The 19,702-nt window shown below is 37.4% G+C and overlaps 1 protein-coding gene across 5 annotated transcripts in view, besides 2 other annotated features; it reads right to left on the reverse strand.

Annotated features, from left to right (window-relative positions):
• The window catches only part of PRTG (protogenin), a 131,609-nt gene that overhangs the window by 39,058 nt on the left and 72,849 nt on the right, over positions 1 to 19,702 (reverse strand). The window contains exon 12 of one of the 5 annotated variants that reach the window (XM_011521460.3): positions 4,475 to 5,753. The exons of 3 other annotated variants lie outside the window; for them this stretch is intronic. In XM_011521460.3, the coding sequence (XP_011519762.1) occupies positions 5,743 to 5,753 (11 nt within the window). In that variant the 3' untranslated portion in view covers positions 4,475 to 5,742. Of the gene's footprint in view, positions 1 to 4,474; positions 5,776 to 19,702 lie in introns of those variants that run through there. One more of the 5 variants, XM_011521459.3, reaches the window with a different exon arrangement.
• Positions 10,553 to 11,457: an enhancer, noted in NCBI's record as "NANOG hESC enhancer chr15:55953352-55954256 (GRCh37/hg19 assembly coordinates)". NCBI's record gives its function as "activates a minimal SCP1, AML or CMV promoter by ChIP-STARR-seq in naive H9 embryonic stem cells {active_cell/tissue: H9 hESC(naive)}" and the evidence as "EXISTENCE:reporter gene assay evidence [ECO:0000049][PMID:30033119]".
• Positions 14,504 to 15,004: an enhancer, noted in NCBI's record as "H3K4me1 hESC enhancer chr15:55957303-55957803 (GRCh37/hg19 assembly coordinates)". NCBI's record gives its function as "activates a minimal SCP1, AML or CMV promoter by ChIP-STARR-seq in primed H9 embryonic stem cells {active_cell/tissue: H9 hESC(primed)}" and the evidence as "EXISTENCE:reporter gene assay evidence [ECO:0000049][PMID:30033119]".

Genomic DNA, 19,702 nt, shown 5'->3' on the forward strand with positions numbered 1-19,702 from the left:
ATTTTATTAAATATACATGGAAGGCAGATGACTAAACGGAACTGTTGAGAGAAGAGACTAAGGAGTAAGAAAGTACCAAGTGGCTGAGCTTGGTGGCTCATGCTTGTAATCCCAGCACTTTGGGAGGCCAAGGGTGGCAGATGGCTTGAGCTCAGGAGTTCAAGACCAACCCGGGCAACACAGCAAAGCCCCCGTCCCTACAAAAAAATACAGAAATTAGCTAGGCATGATAGTGCATTCCTATAGTCCCAGCTACTTGGTATGCTTAGGTAGGAGGATTGCTTGAGCCCAGGAGGCAGAGGTTGTAGTGAGCTGTGATCCCACCACTGCACTCCAGCCTGGGTGACAGAGTGAGACTCAGTCTCAAAAAAAAGAAAGGAAAAGAACATGTCAAAGTTTCCAGCTCAGGTCAACCAACAGAAATGGAAGAGGACATGCTTGGCAGAGGGTTGTCCTTCAGTTCCAAGTCTGTGCTTTTGGGCCTATTTTGTAAAACAGGGGCCCTATATCACTAATGTTTGAGAAATCAGATAGCAAATAGTAAGAGTATGTGTAAAAGAGTACCTTCCAAAGAATGGCATCCACTCCTACAAAGTGGCTTGAAACCTTTCCCCCCGCCCCCACAACTTCTTGGTTAAGTTATCTCTGAAACAGGCCCTGAATAAATGGGAGATATGAATACATACATTCAACCTACGCAAATGTCCAGTAGAACAAAAGCAGAATAATCAGATATATAAACATTAGGTAGTAAATTAATTTTACTTTAAGGAGAACACATTCAAGAATTCCAATCCTGCTGCCTTTTGATCATTGCTTTACTCTTACACTTCAAGACCCAAGGCAAAAGCTAAAAAGCTCGCTGAGTAGGAAGCTTCTATACCATACCTTCCCCCCAATACCATGAAGAGTAAGTACTGCCTGATTGAAGATGAACTAAGATAGTAAAACCGATGGACATCAAATTCAAACTTTATGGACTCTTTGTTGTAATACTAACAGGTTTGTTCCCTGGAAAATGCATAAGAAAAAACAATCATTTCAAAGTACTGGGCTGTGGATCAACAATAAGAGATAATATTTGGGTCATGAAAACTAGGTCTTTGTTGCTTTCAGGTGATGTTTGTTTCTGAGGCTCCAGAAGCCTTGAAAAGAGCCAGGTCAGAGCAAGCAGGTCGGGGTTAGATAAAATTAAGAGAAAACCTGAGGTCAAGAACATGAGAAAACTTTTCCCCCAAAGGAGTGACTCCACCTCCAACACTATTTCTAAAATTCAGCTCTGGTGAAGACTTAGAGAGTTTTATTTCCCATCCTTCTATGGAAATTCTCAAGTAGGGGGAAAAAATCCTCCTACGACCAAAGGAAGATAAAGCAATTACATCTACTTTAGGAATGCCCTCTGCCACTTTTCAATTTACACACAGGAACATGCTGGGGTGGCCTAATAAAATGCATAAAGAAAATAAAAAAGCATTATTTGAAAATGACTATGTACAACTTTAAATTGTTTACTTAAAATGCTGCTATAGAAAAGCTTTGCTATAGTAGCAACAAAGTGTCACAATTAACACAGCTTCAAAGCATTAAAAATCGTCGAATTAGAATATATATGCAAAAGTAGGTAGCAATCAGAAAATATGCTGATATAACGTCAGGATATGCCTAATGTATATCCTGATATAACGTCAGGATATGCCTGTAGGAATGATCAGAATAAGTAGGTAGGAAATGATCAGAATAAGTAAGAAAGGTGAAAGTCTGAAGGATGAAACCTAGTGTCTAGCCAAATGTCCATTTTTAATTTAATCTTTTGTGCTACAAGGTTTTGTGTGAGCCTTTTCAGGCCCATTGTTCCCCTGCAGTCCAACTGGAGAGCTCCTTGGTCTGGCTAGCCAGGGTGACTGCACTGCCCCCAAGCCTGTCCCTTCGACACAATACCCCCCATATAATTATTCAGAGAAGAGGCCAGCGGTACGGCCTGCTCTGACACCTGGGTCATGGCCTCTGACATAGAATCTGGGGCCAGCTCAAGTCTGGCCCAGCAGCAGAGGAGCAGGAAAAACGCTAAGGGGGATGGGTGGGAAAGGGAGCCGAGTGAAACGCTACGATAAAATGCTATGTGTAAGCACAGTAACAAAAACACAAATCACATTTGCACAATGCGATCTGCCTTCAAGTTTTCCAAATGTAAGACTACAGTGTTTCTCCAATTGAAATCACACCGAGATGAGGGGAGCAGATCTCTAAGACAGAATTCTTTGTCTCATATCGTCAAACTTGTGTTAGAATGGAAAACGTTAATTCATGATGATTAAAATAATATCTTACATGAAGGTACTAGTATGCTGATTTAAAAACAGGTTTTTAGCTAAAAGAATGTAAACTTTAAGCCTAGATTAAAAATTCATTCTCCATTTATAAACTGAATTTCTAAAAGGGATTGTTAATCAGAAACATTTTTCACTTTGTTTGCATTATAAATTTAAAGGAATTCTCTTTAATGATGACTATGTCAAAATGTTATAAATTTGTTGTATGATAATATATAGAAGATTTGAGTATAAAATAGACAGAACGGCAGTTGGAGGGGTCAGTCCTTCACTTCTCAAACTTTCCCTGTGTATTCTATATACAGCTTTCATGGAAGCTGACCAGTAGAGTACTTGTCTAAACCTGAAATGATACACTCTTTTGTTTTGCTCCCACCCCCCATAGGGTCTTAAGACAAATAACACCTCTCACTCCCAGTAAAAACATCCCCTCTCCTACTGAGTTTAGAATAATTTAGAGGAAAGTTCTTTGTACGTGTCCTTTGAGAATCAGTTTCCTACCAAAATAAGTATATTCTATTGATCATCTCTATTTTTTTTTTTTTTCTGAGATGGAGTTTCGCTCTTTGTTGCCCAGGCTGGAGTGCAATGGTGCGATCTCGGCTCACTGCAACCTCTGCCTCCTGAGTTCAAGTGATTCTCCTGCCTCAGCCTCCTGAGTAGCTGGGATTACAGGTATGTCCCACCAAGCCCAGCTAATTTTTGTACTTTTAGTAGAGACGGGGTTTTGCCCTGTTAGCCAGGCTGGTCTCGAACTCCTGACCTCAGGTGATCTGCCCGCCTTGGCCTCCCAAAGTGCTGGGATTATAGGCGTCAGCCACTGCGCCCGGCCAGATAATTTCTATGTTTAAAACCTCCCCCAAATGACTGGGATTGTTTTGTAAACTTCAGAAGCATAAGGCTTTCCCAGTTATGTTGTGTTCACTAATGTTTTGATCCTGTTATTCCTTTTTTGATCATGTAATTTCATTTTTAATTGTCCATCAGGCTTTTAAGAATTCTTTTAAAAACATTTTTTATTTTTTGACAAATGTATTACCTTAGGATGTCTAGATAAGAAATATTTAGAGTTGAAGATTTCTACCTGAACTTTGCTATAAGTGAATCTGATTTACATTCAAACACTGAAAAACTAATACGAAAGTGAGATTGGAAGGTCCCACAAACATGGTTTTTGATCTTCTACGTACTTCTCTAATGGAAGACTTTTCCTTTTGTGAATCACTGTGGAAGAAAGGAACCTCACTGGCCCCATTTGGTAAGATGAGTCTCTCCACTGCACTACCAATTAATGGAAATATGGTGAGGGTTGATATCTCCTTTGGTTAGGGAAGAGAAAAAGAAAAGAACACTTCAAAAGGACAGTGGCTTAACTGTCCCAGAATTTATAGTAGTTGTATATGAACCATATTATTAAGGCTATGTCCACATATACCTACCCATATAACTTAAAAGCGAGTAAAATGGAGTGATCATTGATTATAAGTACGAAATTTATAATTCTAAAACAAAGTGTGTTAGAATAGCGGTGTGTGTGCCGTATCCTGGGATAATTAAGGTATAAAATTTACAAAGGAAGTTTAAAGTTGTTACATCAGAAAACGAAATAAATTTGATTATGTTGACATTTCTATCAAAAACAATTGTTACACTAAAAGCATCCGAAGTAGAACACTTGACTCATGCTACTGTACTTGGCTTAGCATTTGTTTAAGTAGCTGCTCTGTCTGCCAACTCACATACACGGTCTGTCTCACATACATCATTGCCTTACAAACAATATTTTTATAGACTGACAGAGAGAGCCTATTCATGACAACCAAACTTCCCCTGAAGCTATGAAATAAATTTCCTCCCAGGACTAATATTTTTCCGTTTCACTGTCGTGGGCTTGCCATGCCATTTTGACCCTTATGTGAAGCAACATGAAAATATCATCTATCATCTCCTGAACCACAGTGACTTGGTCAGAGGTGCACAGTTTCATTGCAAAAACATCTGTAGTTTGATAACCATCCCTTCAAATCTCAACCCTCAGCAGTGAAAAACAAGCTTACAAAATGAGAAAGATGCAGATAGCTTGAAACCAATCTTAAATTCTTCTCAAGTGGGAAATGCAAGCTGGTAAATATCAGCTTCATCAATCACAGTGATAAAACCATGATTATTTATTTATGCCTTCTTTAAAACTCACAAGAAACAGTATGTTACAACAACTTATGTAAACTCACTGCAATAGATTTTAATGTTAGCAAATAAAAGAATTCTGGGAGTTCTTAGATCCAAGCAGCTGCATATTATTAATGTGTTAACTGGCTATAAACAGTCTATTCAACCAGAAATTTTTTAGTTATTAAAAGACACTGAAGATGCTTAGGGGTACTGAAAGGTATTCAACATATCTTAAAATGGTTTTCAACACGTATGACACAGAACCTCAAACAAATTAAGCATATAGAATTAAACCAAAAAGATTTTCTGATAAATAAAACATTCAACAGATCTAGGTTTCTTATATTCAATCTGAAATATATTATTATAAATATCAGTTTACAAACATTTCATGAATGAGTTATTCAGTTGTTTAAGGAAATAATTTCAGTTCAGAATATTTTTATATTATGCACTCAGTTACAGAAACAGCCTTTAGTTCCTCAAGTGGGCTTTGGACAGTAAGAATAAGACAGAACTTTGGACAGTATGAACTTTAGACAGTATAAACTTTGGACAGTATGAACAGGCGGGCTCTGGACAGTATAAGAAACTGATGTTCTGTGCCTTAATTTCTTAAGAGGCAAACTTATAGTATATACTGACTGATACAACTTTTAAATATCCCCACATTCCTAGAGAATTTTTTTATAAGCAATTACTTCAGAAGTGCTGTTGTTTTAACCTTTCAGTGCCTAATCATTGTAAAACCATTATCTAATTTGGAGATACTACAGACTAAAAATTGTCAGTACAAGAGTATAGGGCATTTTTAAACCTTTAAAATTAGTTATAGACATTTTAATGTATTTGCTTTATTTCTTATTCTTTTATTTGTGTGTGTACTTATACACATCTTTCCTTTTATTGAATCATGACACTTCACATCACACCTAAATACTGTGACATTTTCCCCCTAAAAAGGGATGTTCTCCAACATAAACACAGTATTATTATACCCAACAAATTTAACAATGGCAGCATTTATCTAATATATAGTCTGTATTTAAATTTCCAAAATTGTCCAATAATGTTCTTTATAACTGCTTTTCCCCACAAGAATCCAGGATTACACGCTCCACATCGTGTCTCCATCTAGAACTGTCTCCTGCTCTTTTCCTGTCTTCTCCAAGGATGGCATTTCCAGTTGAGCTGTTTTGTGGAATGTCTCACAATCCGGACTTATCTGATGGTTTCATTATTAGATTCGGGCTAAACATTTTTGACAAGAATACTACAAAGGTTAAATTATGACTTTAATTTAGGGTACTTTATAAAGGAAAATAAAAAATCTATAATCTATAATCTGTTAGGTTGCTTGTTGAAGAGAAACATGACTTCGAAAGCTTTCCTAACCCAGAGCAGTGTAATTTTTTCTTTTTTGAGATGGAGTCTCGCTCTGTTGCCCAGGCTGGAGTGCAGTGGTGTGATCTCAGCTCACAGCAAGCTCTGCCTCCCGGGTTCATGCCATTCTCTTGCCTCAGCCTCCCAAGTAGCTGGGACTACAGGCTCCCGCCACCATGCCCGGCTAATATTTTTGTATTTTTAGCAGAGACAGGGTTTCACCCTGTTAGCCAGGATGGTCTCGATCTCCTGACCTCATGATCTGCCCATCTCGGCTTCCCAAAGTGCTGGGATTACAGGCATGAGCCTGGCCAGAGCAGTATAATTGTCTTAGTGGCCAATTTTATCTCTTTTTGTCTATATCAAGTTATATCCATCTATCTATATACAAATGTTTATATTGATCACTTGTTTGACACTGAGGACAATAAAAAGGAGAGATACCAGCAAGCTGTCAGACTTCTAGTAAGATTTCTAGAACTATCTGGGACTTTGAATATAAAGTATGCAAATGCAGATTTCTTTTTAAATTCCCAATGAATCATACTAGAATGTCAATTTGTAAAATGTACACAGCACTGGAATACAGTATACCAAGAATGAGGCCATATAAGTACACAATTGAGCCCTCTTGGGACACAGAATTACTATAATTAAAATAATCCCTGTAATTTCTCAGAATAGAGATATGCACAGAAAAATAGGCCTTTTAAAAGTGTGTCTCCTTACTTCTTAAGGTTTTTGGAGGCTTTAAACATAGTTTCTATTGTTTTATGGGGTCAGAATTGAGGCCCATTGCCATGATTTTTCTTCTGAGACTAAAGGTCATTTTATAAAAAGAGTGGACGTGTAGCTATTCAAGAAAGGGGAACACACTAAAAATCATCATACTTGGCCATTCAGATGGAGAAAGGTGAAGGTTAAGAAAAAATTTTTTGTTTCCTCCACTAATATCTCTAGGTCAACCAAAACTCTGTAACTTGTTAAGTGATCCTAGATACAACAGGAATCACCTTTCCTTATTATATTATCAAGCATAAGTTAAAATGATTTCAATACATGTTCCATAGAGATTCTTCAACTATTTCAACATACAGCGTTTTTCTGGAGGTAATGTATCTGGGATTTTAATTAGTATACTACAAACTTCTTCTGATAATTAAAATATCCTGTGTCCCATAGCTAACTGTAGTTTGTTTTGACTGCAAGGAAGTTTGTAACTCAACTTATAGGCCATTTCTAGCAATAGTAGAAGACCATATGGCATGCAATAAAGAACATAATCCTAGTTTTATTGATTTTCCAGTCTTTATTTATCTTTGTCCCAATCTCTTCATCTAGGTATATTCAATTTAAAATTACTTTTTAAAAAATTATGATCAAATACAGTTATGAAACATTTATAAAATTCAGACAAGCCAAAAAAAGGAAATAAAAATAAAAGGTTCTTAATACCATCACACGGAGATAAACACTGTGAACATTAGGTTGCTGTTTTCTTTTCATTCCCTTTACTATCCACACATACACATATTCAATATTTATGTGTTTTATAACCTGCTTTTAAAATTTAATACACTGTGAACAATTTCTGTCATTTCTCTTTTAAAACATTCCTTTCAATGCCCATATTTATTCAGATGACATCAGGAGCATTCAGGATGGTATGGCTGTAGACTATATTCAAATTGTATGAATGTACCATAGCTTGTTAAACCTCAGTAGCTAAATATATAGGATTTCTCCAGCTTTTCCAATTATAAGTGACCCTGTATATTACAGTAAACACTCTTGCAGTTAAATGTTTGTGCATGCGCATTATTGTTTTTATTTTTTTTTTTTTTTTTGAGATGAAGTCTTGCTCTGTCGCCTAAGTTGGAGTGTAGTGGCATGATCTTGGCTCATGGCAACCTCTGCCTCCCAGGTTCAAGCGATTCTCTGGCCTCAGCCTCCCGAGTAGCTGGGACTGCAGGTGCATGCACCACAATGCCCAGCTAATTTTTGTATTTTTAGTAGAGATGGGGCTTCACTATGTTGGCCAGGCTGGTCTTGAACTTCTGACCTCACGATCCGCCCACCTCAGCTTCCCAAAGCACTGGGATTACAGGCGTGAGCCAACGTGCCCACCCCACATTATTATTTTCTTATGATAGGTCTCTATTAATGGAATTTCTGGTAAAAGAGTATGCATATTGTAAGTCCCCTCCCATTTTTGGTACTGCCCAATTACCCCTAGAAAAGTTGTATATTAATTTACATTCTCGCTTTTAGTATGGGTGTGTTTAACCCTAAATTCCTAATACTGGGCCTTGTCTCATCTATTTGTTTTTTATTTTCTTAAGTTTTGTGTTTCTGTATTGAGTCACTTCAAATTTTTCTTAGAAGGAAATGGGAGACATATAAATTTGAAATAATGACCCCAGTTAGATGTATTTACACAACCTACCAAGGAAGAGATGAATCAATTGTGATAATCAGGCAAAATGTGCTGCCTACTGTGTGCACAGGTTTCATAAGTTATTAACATCCTGGCAGGCTGGGAAAGCTAAGATGTCACTGTAACACTCAGCTGAGGCAGCTGCTCTAGTTCCTATGATAAATCAAGATAAAGGTCAATGGAGTCAGCTATCAAGGCTAATTCAAGGGGCCTCCTCTTACAGCAGCCCACATTTGCTGGGATTTCAAGTCTTTCAAGCTTCTAAACATCTCAAAATGGAATAGGAAAATATGTACAGTTTCAATAAACTATGTCAGGATGATGTTAGGGAACCCTCGTGGGATCACACTAGCTTATTCAAACCAACTGATAAATCAGGTTATTTAGACAGAAATAAGTACTCGTATTTAGCCTGCTTTGATGATCATTCTATCGCTTTAGTTTACACCATCCCTTCTTTCACTATCCCATCAGGATCCTTTGCCTAGTTAACTCCTATTATCTTTCAGATCTCAAATTCAGTACCAGCTTCTCAGGAAAACCTACCCAGACCCCCACCCTCAAACTATAGTGTCCACTATTACACAGCCCCTTCACTCCAAATGCTTTTACCTCATAACACTAAAATTGGTAATTATAAATTATGTGGTGATTTTATTAATGTCTATTTCCTTCTCTAGACTATAAAGCTTCCTAATGGGTAATCACTTAACCTGATTAGGCCGGGCGCAGTGGTTCACGCCTGTAATCCTAGCACTTTGGGAGGCCGAGGCGGACGGACTGCCTGAGCTCAGTAGACCAGCCTGGGCAACACGGTGAAACCCCGTCTCTACTAAAAACACAAAATTAGCTGGGCGTAGTGGTGCACGCCTGAAGTCCCAGCTACTTGGGAGGCTGAGGCAGGAGAATCACTTGAACCCAGAAAATGGAGGTTGCAGTGAGCCGAGATCATGCCATTGCACTCCAGCCTGGGCAACAGAGACAGACTTCAAAAAAAAGTCTCAAAAACAAAACAAAACAAAACAAAACAAAACACCTGATTCAATTTTTTAGAACAGTGGTTTCCAAATTTTTAAGTTTCACTATCCATAAGTAATTTTTTCTAACACACATACTCATTATATATATCTTCATTTATTTATAACATACATATGTGTGACCGCCTTAATATATTATGTATGTTATAAAATAAACATACAAAATATTTTTAAAGACCAAGATAAAATATTTTCCTCCAGGAAGCGTGGTCCTGCAGCTCCCCTTCAGTCCTTGGACTGCATAGTTAGTACAAGGCTTAAAATTTCATGTGCGTTAAGTTTTTTTAAGAAACTTTAAACCAAAAACAAAACAAAAACCACAAGTGTAATTACTGCTATGCAGCAAATGTTTTTTTTCTGTCCACCCTGAAGTTTCTTTCATGTGCTAATGGGTTTCTTTTAAAAAAAAGAAAACCCCTCTCGTTTAACTTAGATCTTTAAGGACCTCACACATCTAAAGATTCTTTACATTCACCAGAAACTTCCAGAGTGGTCTGAGGGCTGACGTGCAGTATGATTAATGGACAGTATTGATTTAATTTTCTACAAGAGTTCTTCCTTCTCTAAGGAGATGCTCTTTGCAATTCCCGTCAAGCATTTTACCATGCTTACAGACTCTTAAAAATAGGAGAATGAAAAGTTTACTGAAGCTTTTTCTTCATTTGTAAAAATACCATTTGAAAGTTTGGGCCTACCAGACAATCAACAGCCTGTCTCTACCTAGATGCATCTTCCTAAGACCAAGGAAACTTTTATTTGAGGTTTTATTAGCACATATAAAAAGGAAACAAAAAAATAAAGCAGTAAAATAAATTTAGTAGCTAAACCTCAAGATATAAATACAAAGTGCTATAAAAATATTGACTTATTTTAAAAGAGATACATAGTAGAAAGCTATTAAGTATTAAATAGATCTGAGTATCTGAGTATCGTTATGTAATAAATTACGAAAATTTCTTCAAAGGTCTCAATTTGATGCGCCATTTGGAGCAGAGTTAAACCAATTTTTCTGGAGACAATGGGGAACTAATTTTGTTCTCATGTGTTTTTTATGTTTTAAATCTGAAGAAAAATTTAATTTAACACATAAAGTGATAGGGGATTCCACTTTCCCCTATCTTTTGATCATGCCCATTTCTTCAAACAAAAAAAAGGTTTTGTCTTGCTTTCCCTAAAACAAACAAACAGACAAACAACTATCCAGATATTTCAAATGGGAATTTAATTTGAGGGAGCCAGCAGGAGGGGATATTCCCTGAGTACAAGAGAGACAGAGAAGGACACTATGCCCAGGGTAACCTCGACTCCAACTCTTCCAAAATCAGAGCACAAACTTAACTGACATCGGACCCCCTAAACTGGAAATGCATCCCAACTGGTATTTCACCTTATAAACTGATTAAAACAACAACAGCAGCAACACAGCCACATGAAATAATGGAACTTCCTCATATCCTGCTTATTTTCTCCATCTCCACAGGGGCCTTACTTTATTTAGGGTTCTTTTCAGTCAGGCATGTGGAGTGAGGCTCCACAAGTACTGTAAATCTTTACCCAGTGCCAAAGGTCAAAGGGTTATCTGTGCTATGCAGTTTCAGGGTAGACAATTTTCTTTACTCTTTCTTTTCTTTTTTAAGCAGGAAGACAAAATGCATGCATATGAATCACAGCAAGCTAATTTAGGTACTAAAAAAAGTTACTCTTCTCCACATGAACTGCTTTCTCAAGAAAACCACTAAATATCAACTTTTCAGTCATTCTACAAAGAGAAGCCAGATGCAACTGATCCCACCTCCCCACCACCATTGTCTGCTAGAAAGCTTGCCACACAGCTGCTAAAGCAGTAAAACAACTTCAGGCCTACAAAAGTGATGACCATTTAGGCAAATGCATCAGTTTTATTCTTGGAAGAAAAAGAAATCTTGCTTAATACTTAAAAAAAAAAAAAAGAGGAGTAGCTGTGTATCATTTTGTTCACATTTTTCACCTCAATAACAAGACAGATGTTTTTCACAGAGCCCTCCATGTTTTAGAGCATTTCGAAAGGTGATAACTATTCAATGCTAAGGATATAAAGGTCCAGGAAAAAAAACTCAAAATTCTTTTCCCAATTATTTGTGTTTGAAATTTTTTGGAAAGTTGAACTTTCTTAAAGATGGTGAAAAAAATGTTTAAGAAGTATAGGCATATATTGCTGTCTTTCTTCTTTCTCCAAAATGATTTAAGTATGAAATAAAGTGATCTATAACATCTCATAGGGTGGCATTAATACAACTCTGATACACTGCTATACACAGCACGCAAGTAAAAGGTATTTCTTCTCTCCGGCAGCACTGTTATTTTAATATTGTTTGCAATCCTCTGAATTTAAGAGGCAGAAATGCAAATCATGATAGTTTGTGCTACTGCATTCAACTGGGTTACAAAAAAAAAGTTTAAAAAAGGTTTTCAAATATTGAAGAAAGCAAAATATCTTCTGTAACTTGCTAGGAGGTTCCATTTGGAATGTCATCTATATTTTTCCCATAATATGGCAGCCTGATCTCCTTTGCTTCTTTCTTATTAAAAATTCCTCCATCTTTTGTGGCAAGTAAGAGAGACTGATAGATGTTTAGAATTTCACCAAACTAAGATCACATATAAATATGACCTTACCTATATTGAAAAATTTCAGTTTCTGAAAGTCTTTGAAGATTTTTTTTTAAAAGGGACTCCACTGAGAGATACATCTCAGAAAATGAGAAAGTTTGAAGTTTCACATAGTAAGAGAAATTTCAATGAGATTTGCTGGATATGCCTCTCTTTCCTAAAAGTGACCTAACTTCTTTTGTTTCACAATTATGCTGACTAGTTTCTTCTGCTGAAGTCTGATAATCTCTTTCAAAGTAGCTAAGCCAGAGAGACGCTGGTCCACAGACTTAACTTCCAACTGCACAACAATAATTCGCCATCTCAGTTCTTCTGAAATCTAAACCCATATATTAAGCTGCTATAGACATCTCCACTGGGACACCAACCTTTCCAACCCAATATGATAAAAAGTGAACTCAGTATCTCCTACTTCCCCAATCCTGGTCTTACTTCTCAAAGCCCTACTCCAGAGTAAAAGTACCATCCCTTAGAACACTTAAGCATCATTCTAATTTCTTCCTCTCCTTAATCATATTTACAGATAACAGTTATCGAGCACTTACTATGTACCAACCCGCTGTCCTGTGGGTTCTACATTCAATCCTGAGCAATCTAAATGTCTAGGAGAAACTGAGGTTCATGGAGGTCAAGTGACTTTACCAATATCACAGTCTTAGCGGGCTGGAGAGCTGGGATCAAACCCTGGTCATCTGATCTCAAAACCCTCAGTCTTCTGATTTAATTTAAAAATTAACATATACTGAAACTTATTTTTGTTGTTGTTGTATGGTCCTATTTAACGCATGTATAGATTTCTGCAACCACCACAACCAGAAAAAGAACAATTTCATCACATCCAGAAGCTCCCAATGCTGCCTTCGTGTAGTCAAGTCTTGCCCCCATCTCTAGTCATGGCAATCACTGATACGTTTTCCATCTTTTCTTTTCTTTTTTTTTTTTTGGTAGGGAGACAAAGTTTCGCTCTCGTTGCCCTGGCTGGAGTGCAATGGCGCTATCTCAGCTCACTGCAACCTCTGCCTCCCAGGTTCAAGTGATTCTCCCGCCTCAGCCTCCGAAGCAGCTGGGATTACAGGTACCAGCCACCACGTCTGGCTAATTTTTGTATTTTTAGTAGAGACAGGGTTTCACCACGTTGGCCAGACTGGTCTCGAGCTCCTGACCTCAGGTGATCCACCCGCCTCGGCCTCCCAAAGTGCTGGGATTACAGGCGTGAGCTACTGCACCTGGCCCCAGTTTTCACTTTTCAAGAGTGTCATATGAATGAAGTCATACAGAATGTAACCTTTTAAGACTGGCCTCTTTCACTCAGCATAATGACATTGATATTCATCCATGAATTGTTGCAAGCAGCAATATAGTTTGCTGCTTTTTACTGCTGAGGAGTATTCCAATTGTACAGATGTACTGCAGTTTATCTGTTCACCTGATGAAGGACATTTAGGTTGTTTTCAGGTTTTGGCAACTGTGAATAGAGCTATACATTTGTGTACAGTTTTTTTGTCTTGTTTTGTTTTGGCGGGGTGGGAGGTGTTTTTGTTTTTGTTTTTTGAGATGGAGTTTCACTCGTTGCCCAGGCTGGGGTGCAATGGCGCAATCTCAGCTTACTGCAACCTCCGCCCCCCAGGTTCAAGCGATTCTCCTGCCCCAGCCTTCCATATAGCTGGGATTATAGGTGTCTGCCACAACGCCCAGCTAATTTTTGTTATTTTTAGTAGAGATGGGGTTTCACCATGTTGGCCAAGCTGGTCTTGAACTCCCGACCTCAGGTGATCCACCCGCCTCGATCTCCCAAAGTGCTGGGATTACAGGCGTGAGCCACTGCGCCTGGCCAAGATGAATAAACTTTAATATAAAAATTTATAAAACAAGATATGGTAATTAAATTGGTACAGATAACAACTTGTTTGTAAACTAAGTAGCTTTATATAGTCATACATATGTACGTAAAGTTCTAATCTAAATTTAGAAATTTTTTTTTGTTTGTTTTTGAGACAGGGTCTCACAGGCCCTACTTCACCATGGCTGGAGTGCAGTGATGCAAATGGCTCGCTGCTACCTCGACCTCCTGGACTCAGCTGATTCTCCTGCCTCAACCTCCTGTGTATCTGGGATCACAGGCATGTACCACCATGCCCAGCTAACTTTTTGATTTTTTGTAGAGATGGAGTCTCACCATCTTGCCCAGGCTGGTCTCAAACTCCTTGATTCAGGCAATTCTCCTGCCTCAGCCTCTCTAAGTGCTGGGATTATACGTGTGAGCCACTGCACCTGGCAGAAATTTTGCATTTCTAACTGACATTATCTCCTAGACAATGTCTTCACGAGGAGTTAGGTGACGTATCACAGAAGTTAAAACTGCATGTTGGCCAGGCGCAGTGGCTCACGCCTGTAATCCCAGCACTTTGGGAGGCCGAGGCGGGTGGATCACGAGGTCAGGAGATCGAGACCATCCTGGCTAACACGGTGAAACGTCATCTCCACTAAAAAAAATACAAAAAATTAGCCTGCGTGGTGGCCGGTGCCTGTAGTCCCAGCTACTTGGGAGGCCGAGGGAGGAGAATGGTGTGAACCAGGGAGGTGGAGCTTGCAGTGAGCCGAGATCGCGCCCCTGCACTCCAGCCTGGGTGACAGAGCGAGACTCTGTCTCAAAAAAAAGAAAAAGAAGAAGAAAGGCATAAACCTAATGTCAAAATTCCTTACCCTTACGTGTTAAAACAATAGATAGAGGGGAGGCCTGAAATTCAGCATTTCAGTAAACTCCCAGATTATGCTGCTGGTCCTGGGACTGCACTTTGAGAAGCAAGAACTATACACAGTCTAAATCTAGAACTTCTAAATTCTAGTAATGTGGCCTGGTGCTCTTGATATACCTGTCAGCTAAAAAGGTTTTTTTTGTTTTTTTTTTTTTTAATCTTTCAGTGGTTAAAAAAATTTTTTCTTTTTTTTTTTTTGAGACAAAGTCTTGCTCTGTCACCCAGGTTGGAGTGCAGTGGCAGAATCTTGGTTCACTGCAACCTCTAGCTTCCAGGTTGAAGCAATTCTCCTGCTTCAGCCTCCTGAGTAGCTAGGATTACAGGCATGCACCACCACCCCCGGCTAATTTTTGTATTTTTAGTAGAGACAGGGTTATGCCATGTTGGCCAGGCTAGCCAGGCTGGTCCCAAACTCCTGACTTCAAGTGATCCACCCACATCGGCCTCCCAGAGTGCTGGGATTACAGACATGAGATTATATTTCACTGTACCCAGCCTGAATAAAATGTTTTAAAGAATACTATTTTGTGACACGTCAAAATTATATGAAATTCATACTTCAGTGTCCACAAATGAAGTTTTATTGGAGCATAACCACATGCATGCATTTATGTATTTTCCAAGGCTGCTTCTGTGCTGCAGTAGCAGAGTTGAATACTTGTGAAAGAGACTATATGGCCCACTGTATCAGTCTTGCTCAGGGCTGTCATAACAAAATGCCAGACTGAGTGGTTTAAACAACTGAAATTTGTTTCCTCAGTTCTAGAGGCTGGGAACTCCAGCATCACACTCTGGCAGGATTCAGTTTCTGGTGAGGGCTTTCTTCCCGGCTCACAGGTGACTGGGCTTTTGCTACATCCTCACATGGTAGAGAGCATGCTCTGGGCATTTCTTCTTCTTCTTATAAGGGCATCAGCCTTACTGGATTAGAACCTCACTCTTATGACCTCATTTAACCTTCAGCATCTATCTTTTCATAGGCTCTATCTCCAAACAGAGTCACATTTAGGGTGAAGGCTTTAAAATATACATTTTGGGAAGACACAAACATTGGGTCCAAAACACCCATAAAGCCTAAAATATTTACGATCTGTCCCATTACAGAAAAAGTTTGCTTATTCCTGGTCTAGATCTTTACTTCTCAAAGTGGGCAGAAATGCAAAAATTTCAGGCCCCACCCAAACCTACTGAATATTAGAATCTGTGTTTTAACAAGATCTGTGGGTAATCCATATACATTTTAAAGCTCAAGACGCATTAGCTTTCAAATCTAGTGATCATGGTAAATTACTTGAAAAAATATTTTTAAAACATACAGACACAATTTTTAAATACAGGCTCAATTTCTAAATACATTGCTCTCCTGGGAGGATAACAATTTTAACAACAAAAACAACTAACATTTGTTGAGAACTTATAATGCAGTTTTCCCAGGCACTATGCTAACTTTTATGTGCATTATTTCATTTAATCTCCCTAACATTCTAAAATCAATACCATTATCCCTACCTAAAAGATTAGGTGAACAGCTAGGATTTCATTTGTTAATAAGTTGTGAAATTTGAAGTCAAATCCAGGCAACAGACAAGAAACTTATTTGACTGATGTTTTTCTTTTACCGTCAGTGCCATGTGGTTTCTATAATAGAACATTGTAAATGATGTACCATGGAATGACTGACACCATTTAGAGTCACAAGAGGTTTCCCAGAAGTGTTGAGACTTAAAATCTGGGCAATATTTTTCCAAATGTAAAGAGGAGATATACCTCTAATTCATCCAGAGAACACCCAAAGTATTTTACAATGGCAGGAGACCTTTCATTTACGACAAATAATTTAAGAAAAAAAAAAAAAAACAGATAATGCACTGTAATTCTTATATAGCTCTTACAGTTTCATCAATCTGTAAACACTTTATTTTTCATTAGAGGTAGCTGCAAATTGGCAAATGAAAAATCTTTTCTTTTTTACTATCTTAATGTAATAGTATTTTTTTAGTAGCAGGATTTTTTTTAGAAGTAAATACTTCATTTCTTTTGAAGTATTGGTTTCTAAATTTTTCAAATATTAAGTTCTAAAATTTGAGTTGAGTATCAATCATATTTGGCATTTTAAGATACTGCAGAGAATGAAATATTCAAAAATTTCTGCTCTATTGGCAAATTAAGAAAAAAGTCTATGTTGAAGTTTCAACATATTTTGGCATAATAATATATTAAACATAACAAAAGAAAGGGTAACTTAAAAATATTTAATAGTGAAGAAAGTGAAATACGATAGTTTTTAAATATTCTCTTTTGTTATAATTTGTACTCACACTTTCGTCAGTTAGTTTTCTAGCCCACAAGGCAAGCAGTTTCCAAAAGTATTTCTTTAAAGAAGTTTACTGAGTTCAATTAAATGAATTTATTTTGTGACTGCTGGACAGAATGAATCAGGCTGGGCATGGCGGCTCACACCTACCATCCTGGCACTTTGGGAGGCTGAGGCAGGTGGATGGCTTGAGTCCAGGAGTTCAAGACCAGCCTGGGCAACAGAATGAAACCCCGTCTCTACCAAAAATACCAAAAATTAGCCCGGCGTGGTGGCGCACGCCTGTGGTCCCAGCCACTCAGGACCCAGCTGAGGTAGGAGGATTGCTTGAGCCTGGGAGACAGGTTGCAGTGAGCCGAGATGGCACCACTGCACTCCAGGCTGGGTGACAGTGAGATTACGTCTCAAATAAATAAATAAAATGCTGTATAGTTTATTATTTTAATTATTCATTTATAATTGGTGTGAAATCTCATGCTCACACTAATCATGCTTACTGTAAAATCAAATAAAATAATTAACAAGCTCAAGCTCTTTGGCAAAATAAAAGCTAAAGATGATCTAACATCAGTGTCCTAAATGTTAAACAACAGTATTACATAAAAATCTGCCCCTTTTCATCCTTTCAAATAAAGACTTAATAATTCAGAACAGTTTTTGACAGCTTGTGAAAACAGTTCCTTTGTAATTATAAGCTAACTTCAGAATTTAAAGCCAATTTCTGAAACAAACAGATGAAAAAAGGGGAACAAATCATTTCAATCAATTATCAGGGAACAAAAGTATGTTACTAATTTTGCTTTAGTTTATTGTGAGATGAATATAACAAGTATTTAAAAATCCTACTTACAACTGAGCTAAACATTGAAAGTGCCTAGGGGAAAAAATCTAAGTGAAATTAATCACCACAAAGATACAAAGTCTCAAACTACCACTTAGAACAAATCACACTAATGTATTAAATCACAAGTCTAATGCTTTTTTCCAACCCCACCACCAAAGTAAACCAGTTTTAATTAAAATCAAACTATATTTTAAAGTCATTAAAATCAAACAAGCTAACATCAAAATATTTCCATCACTCTGCCAATATTTATACTATGAAAGACACAATAATCTTTTTAGCTACTTTAAAAAAACTGTACATCTAGGGACTGAGCTTTGAGGTTTTAGAGTAAAAAGTTCTAAAATAACTTTCATTACTAAGTATAATTAAATTTAGTTCATTAGAAATTTGTGCAGATATTGGAAAAATCGTCAATTTAATGTCTTTTAATATTTCTTGTTTTAAGCAGAGATTACATCTGTTACACCTTTTTATGTAGTACTACATCTCAGAAAAATATTTGAAAATGCTCGTTAAATGAATTGAAATACATAAGTTCATTCGTCTTTTTCTTTCTTCCAGAAACAAAGAACTGTGTGTATTACCAAGGAGAGTATGTCCCAATAATATACTTTTTAAATTAAAAACTTAATTATCAGAAGTAAAAAAAAAAAGGTGTATAAAGGCATCAGAAAGGGGATTAGTATGAAAATGAAATTTTGAGACACTAGTTTGTTACTCAAATTGACATTGAATCAGCAAACAGAAGCATTTAAATTTTATTTCCAAGCCGACTTAGCAAATCTAGCTCCAGTTAAAGTATCTTTAATGTGCAAAAGCTCAGTGAAAGCAAGTATTCACCATGCAAGACACAGATAGGATTCCCTTAACCTACTGCCCTCCAGACACATCACTCTCTGTTAAACAGGCAGCTACTGCCAGATGCTCTCACTAAAAATGGTCACAGATGGTCAGTTGTCCAGTTAACAGAACATACTCCCCTCCCAATATTCGAAAGTAAGAAGGAAAGGATAGCTGCTAACACTTGCCTGCTTAGTGAGTTAAACGTATTTGACTGCTACAAGTTTGGCAAGGCCCCAACACTGACCTTCTAGGAAAGTAAGACTAGACCATAGGGGTCTCAAGATTAAAAGGCATCTTAAAGGTGATCCAGTCAACAGCTGCACAATACTTGAATCCACACAACTGCATCTCTGCTAGTCAGTCATTCCAGCCGTGACTTGGTAGCTCCAGGGGTGCGGAACCTGCTGTCTAACAAGAAAGTCTCTACAGCTGCAAGAGGTCTCTGTTATCCTGAACTGCAATCAGTCCAATCACTCAATATAATTCCACAGTCAGGAAACATGCAGCTATTTTAATAGACATAGTATATTGACAAAATAATTTTCCAGTTTATGCATTAGAAGTGATTTTAAATGGATTTACCTCAAATAGCATACACAGTGGATTTTACAACATAAAAACAAGGGCAGGAATATATGATTTATTTTTAAAACACAGGAGAAAATAAAGGTTTATAGTTTTAAAAGTTGACTATAGTTCAGAGATGATTTAAAAAGTTCAACAAAGATCAATGGGTCTTCCTCTTTATAAATAAATAAATACATACATGCGTGTGTGTGTATATATATGCATATATGTATCTGTAGAAAATTTTGAAGAATTGCTTTTAATTGCCAAAGTTTTAATAAAATGTCTCTCTAAACTTTTCACAACCCAAGTTTTTTTCTAATAAATTAGTCACCTATTTAGAATAAGCTCCCTGTGATGTATAAGA

The sequence above is a fragment of the Homo sapiens genome, chromosome 15 (genome assembly GCF_000001405.40).
Source record: "Homo sapiens chromosome 15, GRCh38.p14 Primary Assembly".
Lineage (NCBI taxonomy): Eukaryota > Metazoa > Chordata > Mammalia > Primates > Hominidae > Homo > Homo sapiens.